Source organism: Homo sapiens, chromosome 7, assembly GCF_000001405.40.
Source record: "Homo sapiens chromosome 7, GRCh38.p14 Primary Assembly".
In the NCBI taxonomy this organism is placed as follows: domain Eukaryota; kingdom Metazoa; phylum Chordata; class Mammalia; order Primates; family Hominidae; genus Homo; species Homo sapiens.
The window spans coordinates 44,016,674-44,025,393 of NC_000007.14; the positions used below are offsets into that span (position 1 = coordinate 44,016,674).

General features: G+C 51.8%; 1 pseudogene across 1 annotated transcript in view, besides 1 other annotated feature; it reads right to left on the reverse strand.

Annotated features, from left to right (window-relative positions):
• POLR2J4 (RNA polymerase II subunit J4 (pseudogene)) overlaps window positions 1–2,521 on the reverse strand; it is a 78,300-nt pseudogene extending 75,779 nt beyond the window's left edge. The window contains exon 1 of the transcript NR_003655.3: window positions 2,388–2,521. The product of NR_003655.3 is annotated as an RNA polymerase II subunit J4 (pseudogene) (transcript). The remainder of the gene's footprint in view (window positions 1–2,387) is intronic.
• Window positions 3,537–3,831: a silencer, noted in NCBI's record as "tiled region #7454; HepG2 Repressive non-DNase unmatched - State 8:EnhW, and K562 Repressive DNase unmatched - State 12:CtcfO". NCBI's record gives its function as "represses a minimal TATA promoter and a strong SV40 promoter by Sharpr-MPRA in HepG2 and K562 cells {active_cell/tissue: HepG2 | K562}" and the evidence as "EXISTENCE:reporter gene assay evidence [ECO:0000049][PMID:27701403]".

The following is an 8,720-nucleotide window of genomic DNA, read 5'->3' on the forward strand; positions in this document are numbered from 1 at the left end:
AGAAGTTCAAGACCAGCCTGCCCAACATGGCAAAACCCTGTCTGTACTAAAAATACAAAGAAAAAAAAAAATTAGCTGAGTGTGGTGATCCATGCCTGTAGTCCTAGCTACTTGGGAGACTGAGGCAGGAGAATCACTTGAACCTGGGAGGTGGAGTTGCAGTGAGCCGAGATCATGCCACTGCACTCCAGCCTGGGCAACAGAGTGGAACTCTGTATCAAAAATATAAAAATAAAAAGGAAAAATAAGCTCTGCCTCTTCCTGAAGGCCTTTCTCAATCTCTTCATCCCATAAAGGCCTCGCCAACCCGGTCCCCTACTTCCTGCTACCCCAGGTCTATGGAACCTTGGCCTTTTCTGAATTCCTCCTTTTTTTTTTCCGGTAGAGATGGGGTTTTGCCTTGTTGTCCTCGCTGGTCCTGAACTCCTCGCCTCAAATGATCTCTCCTGCTGCCCAGGCTGGAGTGCAGTGGTGTGATCATAGCCCACTGAAGCCTCCAACTCCTCGGCTAAAGTGATCCTCCCGCCTTAGCCTCCTGAGTAGCTGGGACCACAGGCACACGTCATCATGCCTGGCCTGTTCCTTTTTTCTTATGCCAACATAATGAAGCAACCAAAAGGTGAAGAAGAGAGGCCCTGAAGTTACACGGTGAGGCTGGTCCTGACCCTGTGAGTTCCGAAAGCAACCATCCCCCTGGCTGGAGTGTGCAGTCCTTCCATCCATTCCCCAAAACAAGTCATGCTCTGGCATTTACTATGATTTTAGTGAACGCTTAGATGGACAAAGACAGGAAACTTCCATTGGATTTTCCAAGACAAGGGGTTTTCAGAGTGCAGTTCCCAGATAAGCAGCATCAGAATCCCCTGGGAACTTGTTAGAGTCTCCCACCTCCCACTTACTGGACCCAGAACTCTGGAGGTGGGGCGCAGGGATCTATGGTTTAAGAAGCCCTTCAGGTGATTCTAATGCACACTCAATTTGAGGGCAACTATGCTGACAGTAAAATCTCACACAGGTGAGAGGTATCAAGTTGAATATCCTTTTTTCTAAGGTGGTTTCTCCAGGCTGACACCACACACATTTTAGGGTGCATCATTCTTTCCTGTGGGGTGCTGTCTTGTGGACATTGTAGGACATCAGCAGCATCCCTGACCTCTATCCAGTAGATTCCAGTCATAACCCCCTTTGACAACCAATAATGTTCTCAGTTATTGCCACATGTCCCTTGTGGACCAAATGGTCCCCAGTTGAGAGTCTGCTCTAAAGGAGGCCGAAGTGGCTGGCAAGGGCCAGACCAAGACCTCTGCATGCCAACCTGGGAACAATAAGAGCCAATGGTTATGAGGTTTTCCAGGTGCTGAGCTTTGGACCAAGAGTTTTACACAAATTACCTCATCCAATTCTTTTTATTTTGAGACAGGATTGCGCTCAGTCGCCCAGGCTGGAGTGCAGTGATGCGATCAAAGCTCACTGCAGCCTGGAACTCCTGTGCTCAAGCAATCCTCCCACCTGAGCCTCCCAAAGTGCCGGGATTAAAAGCGTGAACCAGCGCACCTGGCCAGATCCCTTTTTTTGTTTTTTGAAACGGAGTTTCGCTCCCGTTGCTCAGGCTGGAGTGCAATGGCGTGATCTCCGCTCACCTCAACCTCCACTTCCCAGGTTTAAGTGATTCTCCTGCCTCAGCCTTCTGAGTAGCTGGGATTACAGGCATCTGCCACCACGCCCGGCTAATTTTGTATTTTTAGTAGAGACAGGGTTTCTCCATGTTGGTCAGGCTGGTCTTGAACTCCCGACCTCAGGTGATCCGCCCGCCTCGGGCTCCCAAAGTGCTGGGATTACAGGTGTCAGCCACCGCACCCGGCCTGAATCCCACGTTTAAGTACAGTAATAAACTCATTTTCCAGATGAGGAAACAGGGCTCCGACATATCAAGCCACTCGCCCACAGATACAGAGTGAGCCCAAGCTCTCTCCCCTGGACTCCTTCAACCCGCAGGCAGCGAGGAGCCACTGCGGCTTTTACGCAGGCCGCTGACAGATCGGAGGGGATGAAGGATGGAGGTGGAGGGCGAGAGACAAAAGAGGAAGCTGCCAGATCCCAGAGGAAAAGGGCTATGGAGAACCAGACACTCTGGGTTCGAATACAAGCGCCGCCACTTCCTGTGTCCGGGGCAACTTGCTCGCCTCCAAGCCTCAGTGTCCTCATCTGCAAAATGGACACACTCGCGACTGCCTCGCGGAACGGCCTTAAATTTGGCTGACACAGGCCGAGCGGACGATCAAGCAAAAGCTGTTTCCCTCCAGGGGCAAGAGATGGGCAGGAGACACCCCAGAATGCGACAGCCGCAGGCCCGCGCACCTCGGCCCGCCGCAGCCGGCGTCACTTACTTCTTCTCGCCCTCGAAGAGCAAGAACGACTCGAAGGCTGGAGGGGCGTTCACGCTCCCGCCTCCGTTGCGTCCAGACCCCAAGTGTCTGCCGCCGCCGCCACCAGAGCCCTAATAAGAGGCCTCTTCCGGATTACTCCGGCGGGGCAAACCCGCGCAAGGATCGGCTCATCGCCCCCTTTCGGGCTGGAGGATCTTGCGCAGGCGCGAGAAAACCCCGAGAGAGGCCAGTGCCTCTGTGCATGCGTCAGTGGCGAGCGCACCGCCCCCACCCGCACCCCGGCTTGGCTTTCCCCCGTGGGCGCTTTTCGGCGCATGCTCAGAGCGCCGGGAGGGCTGTTCTGCCCCTACAGAGGCCTCCTAGTCCTGGCTGAGCGGGAACCTCAAGCTGTACCTTTCTCCTTTCCCCATGTCCCTTGATCTCTCTTTGGAAACGTGCACCCCCTTGGAGTGCGCAGCAGGAGGCCCCTGAATAGAGAGAATAAAGCTAAGGGGTAGTGGACAGCTGCCGCTAGCAGCCGTAGGGGGAGCAGAAGATCTCGTGGCTAGAGGCAGATCTATGATAAGCCCCCTGCCCAGGCTGCCTATACCGACTGCTGCAGGACCTCTGCCTGGGGGGTGCAGCTGGCTTGTTAGCCGGGAGGGACAATTGGGTGAGGGATGCAGAAGGAGGCAGGTGTATACAGCAGTGAGAGGGGAGCCCGTAGGGTTACGTATATCTTTTTATATATTATTATTATTATTTAGAGACAGTGTCTCCCTCTGTCGCCCAGGCTGAAGTACAGTGGCGCCATCATGCAGCCTCCAACTCCTGGGCTCCAGAGATCCTCCTGCCTCAGCCTCCCGATAGTTAGGACTGCAGGCATGTGCCATCACACCTAGCTATTTTTTTTTTTTTTTTGGAGATGGTTGTGGGGGGGTGGCCTCCGTATGTTGCCCAGGCTGGTATTGAACTCCTGGCCTCCAGCAGTCCTCCAGCCTCAGCCTCCCAAAGTGCAGTTGGTGGATGTGGGCAGCAAGCCACCCAGGTGCCGAGGCAAGAGACCGAGGGCATGAGCTGTTCCAGTATAATAAAATATATAAAATAAGAATAGTTATACTAGATATAGATCTTAGATATGATTATATATGAATCATTAATCATTAGTTTGTAGTAATTATTCTTTATTCCAATATTATAATAATCCTCGCTCTACAATCATAACCTAGGAAAAACCAGGCCATACAGAGATGGGAGCTGAGGGGACAGTGAGGAGTGACCAGAAGACAAAGAGTGCGAGCTTTCTGTTATGCCCGGACAGGGCCACCAGAGGGCTCCTTGGTCTAGCAGTAACGCCAGCATCTGGGAAGACACCTGTTGCCAAGCCGACCGTGGTCTAGCGGTAGCGTTAGTGTCAAGGAAAAACACCCGCTACTTAGCAGACCGGGAAAGGGAGTCTCCCTTTCCCCGGGGGAGTTTAGAGAAGACTCTGCTCCTCCACAGGCCCGCCCACAGTTACCCGGAGGCCTAACCGTCTCCCTGTGATGCTGTGCTTCAGTGGTCACGCTCCTAGTCCACCTTCATGTTCCATCCTGTACACCTGGCTCTGCCTTCTAGATAGCAGTAGCAAATTAGTGAAAGTACTAAAAGTCTCTGATAAGCAGAAATAATGGTGTAAGCTGTCTCTCTCTCTCTTTCTCCTCTCTCTCTCTGCCTTGGCTGCCAGGCAGGGAAGGGCACCCTGTCCAGTGGAAACGTGACCCATGTGGCCTTACCTATCATTGGAGATGGTTCACTCCTTATCCTGCCCCTTTGTCTTGTATCCAATAAATATCAGCGCAGCCTGGCATTCAGGGCCACTACCGGTCTCTGCATCTTGGTGGTAGTGGTCCCCCCAGCCCAGCTGTCTTTTATCTCTTTGTCTTGTGTCTTCATTTCTGCACTCTCTCGTCTCTGCACACGGAGAGAAACCCACCGACCCTGTGGGGCTGGACCCTACAGGTGGATAAGTGTATCTTACCCTTTTTGGTTTGGTTGTTTTGCAGACTACAGTTTAGCATAAAGGCCCTCCTTAAGCTGTTTGAAGCAACAGGGACTGGGGTCTCAGGGGAGCTACCAGAGCCCTAACAGTTTGGCAGCTGTTTCTCCAAGGCTGGGCAGCAGCTACAGTGCTGAGGAAATCTGGAGCATCTACCCCTTCTGGGAAGGCCCATTTCCTACTTGAGTTCTTGCACCCTGGCAGGAGGAAATCTCATTCTGCAACAGCCCCACACAGAATCTGACTTTCCAGGCGAAGTGGGTGGGCACCTCTTTAACTGCTGAGGAACAGAAAGTGATATGGGTAGGCTGGGTGCGGTGACTCACGCCTGTAATCCTAGCACTTTGGCACTTTGAGAGGCTGAGGCAGGCAGATCACTTGAGGTAAGGAGTTCGAGACCAGCCTGGCCAACATGGTGAAACCTCATCTCTACTAAAAATACAAAAAATTAGTCGGGCGTGGTGGTGGGCACCTGTAATCCCAGCTACTTGGGAGGCAGAGGCAGGAGAATCGCTTGAACCCGGGAGGCGGAGGTTGCAGTGAGCTGAGATTGCGCCACTGCACTCAGCCTCCCAAAGTACTGGGATTACAGGCGTGAGCCACTGTTCCTAGCCAAGGGTAGCATCCTTGACCCAAGCTTTTCCAGGGTGACCCAGAAGTGTGGAGGTTATATCCTCAGGGAATTATTACCCTTATCACTTTTTTTTTTTTTTTGAGATAGCATCTCGCTCTGTCGCCCAGGCTGGAGTGCAGTGGCATGATCTCGGCTCTGTTGTCTAGGCTGGAGTGCAGTGGCGAGATCATAGCTCACTGCAGCTTCAAGCTCCCGGGCTCAAGCAGTCCTCCTGCCTCAGCCTCCCCAGTACCTGGGACCACAGGCAGGCACCATGGCGCCCTGCTAGTTTTTTTCTTTTTACTTTTTGTAGCGATGGGGTCCAACTTTATTGCCTAGGCTGGTCTCGAACTCCTGACCTCAAGCAATCTTCTCGCCTTGGCCTCTCAAAGTGCTGGGATTATAGGCATGAGCCCTGCCCCTGGCCACACATACCATGCTAATTTGTTACACATTGGCTGTGGTTGCTTTCATGCTACATGGCATGGTGGTTGTGACTGAGAGCTGCATGTCTGGTCCTTTACAGAAAACGTTTGCTGATCCTAATCTTGGGGATTGTGCCTGTGTTGACTTTGCTATTTATTGTTTGGTTACAGCCCAGACACTGAAGTTACTTATTAGCTTGTGGGTTTCTATCCCGTAGAAAAGAAAACTTCATGGCCGGGCGCAGTGGCTCACACCTGTAATCTCAGCACTTTGGGAGGCCGAGGTGGGCGGATCACGAGGTCAGGAGATGGAGACCATCCTGGCCAACAAGGTGAAACCCCATCTCTACTAAAAATACAAAAATTAGCTGGGCATGGCAGTGAGCACCTGTAATCCCAGCTACTCGGGAGGCTGAGGCAGGAGAATTGCTTGAACCCGGGAGGCAGAAGTTGCAGTGAGCCAAGATCGCACCACTGTACTCCAGCCTGGACGACAGAATGAGCCTCCGTCTCAAAAAAAAAACAAAAAACAAAAAAAAAAAAAAGAAAAGAAAACTTCATTAATTAACCACTTTCGTATGTAATATCACAATCTTATTCTAGCATTCTTCTCTTAAAGTGTTTACAGGCCAGGCACAGTGGCTCACATCTGTAGTCCCAGCACTTAGGGAGGCTGAGGGAGGATTGCCTGAGCCCAGGAGTTTGAAACTAGCCTGGGCAATATAGCAAGATCTTGTCTCTACTAAAAATTTAAAAAATCAGCAGGGCATAGTAGTGTGTGCCTGTAGTTCCATTTACTTGGGAGGCTGAAGCAATAGGATTGCTTGAGCCCAGGAGGAAGAGGCTACAGTGAGCTATGACTGCACCACTGCATTCCAGCCTGGGTGGCAGAGCGAGACCCCGTCTCAAAAACAAAACAAAACGAAACAAAAGAATGCTTACAAATACATGAAATACATGTACCCAGCTTCTCAGAATGATCCATGAATCAGAGTTCCCACTCTTTTTCTGAATTGGTGCGTAGTAGATCTTTGATATGTGTTCATGATATATATGAGTCATCTTTTTTACATGTTTGAAAATTATACTTTGAAAAGGGCTTGTCCGGAGGTGGTTGCTGCATACCTGTTCAGATTTCCTAAGAGGTTGAGAGAAACAGGTACTGGGTGAGCTGGGTCCACTCAAGCCTTCCCAGGGTGCCTGCCCTGCCCTGTGGTGAACACCAGCCCCCTGGGCTGCAGATATCTGCCTGGGGGTCCAATCAGATCCTCAAGACATCTGGGACTGGGCATGGTGGCTCATGCCTGTAATCCCAGCACTTTGTGAGGATGAGGTGGGCGGATCACTTGAGTTCAGGAGTTCAAAACCAGCCTGGCCAACATGGTGAAACCCCATCTCTACTAAAAATACAAAAATTAGTCAGGCGTGGTGATGGGCACCTGTAATTCCAGTTATTCGGGAGGCTGAGGTGGGATAATCACTTGAACTTGGAAGCAGAGGTTGCAGTGAGCCGAGAATGTTCCACTATCCTCCAGCCTGGGTAACAGAGGGAGACTCTGTCTCAAAAAAAAAAAAAAATAGGCCACGTGCGGTGGCTTACACCTGTAATCTCAGCACTTTGGGAGGCTAAGGCAGAAGGATCATCTGAGGTCAGGAGTTCAAGACCAGCATGGCCAATATGGTGAAACTCCATGAAACCCCATCTCTACCAAAAAAAAAAAAGACAAAATATTAGCTGGGAGTGGTGGCGTGTGCCTGTAAATCCCAGCTACTCAGGAGGCTGAGGCAGGAGAATCGCCTCAACCTGGGAGGTGGAGGTTGCAGTGAGTTGAGATCACACCACTGCCCTCCAGCCTGGGCGACAGAACCAGATTCCATCTCAAACAAAAACAAAAACAAAAACAAACAAACAAACAAAAATCTGGGAACCTGCCCCAGGACCCAGTTGAATGCCAGGGCTTGAAGTCTCTGGGAGGGGGTGGTATAGACTTGTGGGACAGATGGAAGGTATATCCTCTCCTGCTCCTCTCGCTTTTCCAGGTGGCCTCCAGAAACAATGTGGCATGATGGGCTATGGGCAGCTCTGCTCAGGGCCTGAGAGGAGAACCAGGGGGCAGTGCCAGGCATGCACTGATGTTAACTTCCCTTCCAGCTGCAGTGGTCAGGATCTGGGGAGGGGAGGAGAGGCATGGTGGATGCTGCCAGAAGGGTGGCTGTGTGTGTGCACTCAAGATCCAGGTTTCCACTTGTAGCCCTAATAAGTCCACGGCTCCTTCCCTTTCACTGCCTGCATTTAGGCTCAGGAGACCCTGGAGGCCATACTTCCTAGAGAGTAGGTCCTTGAACCCAAGGAGATCCAACAGGCATGAGGATTTTTGTGTACCCCTAAGGAAGTAGCCAGAGAACCAGGTGCTGGTGATTTGGGGTGGGGTAGGGGCTGCATCAGGCTCAGCTGTCCCTGGACCCAGGGCCTTGGGCCAGGAAGGGAGGGGAGGGACCCAATCCAGCAAAAAGGCTTAGGAGCCCATAGGACGGCAGAGCACAGCAGGCTATGAAGCTCTAAGGGGTCGGGCTGGTGGGCTGCCTATGGGGGAAATGGTATCCACCAAGGCCACAGCCAGGAGAAAAGGTTGGTATGGCCCCAAAAGCCATAGGGAAGAGGGAGAGGGCAGGCCCCTTGAATCTTAATTTCCCCTTGACCTTTTTTTTTTTTTTTTTTTTTTTTTTTTTTTTTTTTTGAGACAGCGTCTCTCTGTCACCCAGGCTGGAGTGGAGTGGCCCGATCTCGGCTCACTGCAACCTCCACCTCCTGAATTCAAGCAATTCTCCTGCCTCAGCCTCTCAAGTAGTTATTACAGGCACCTGCCACCATGCCCAGCTAATTTTTGTATTTTTAGTAGAGACAGGGTTTCACCATGTTGACCAGGCTGGTCTCTAACTCCTGACCTCAGGTGATCCACCCACCTTGGCCTCCCAAAGTACTGGGATTACAGGCATGAGCCACTGTGCCCAGCCCTCTTTGCCTTTCCCTACTATTCCTGGAAGAGCCAAGGTATACAAGATGCCCCACTGGCCCTGCCCCAGAACCTAGCTGGGCAGCCAGGTCAGGGGTCATGTCTGAGCCCTGGGACACTGGGGGCTGTCCTAGGCTAAGGACAAAGAGGGGAGGCTCAGAGCTTGCTTGGATGAGCATTGAGAATGTGTTTGTGGCTGGGTGCGGTGGTCCTGTAATCCCAGCACTCTGGGAGGCTGAAGTGGGAGGATGGCTTGAGCCCAGG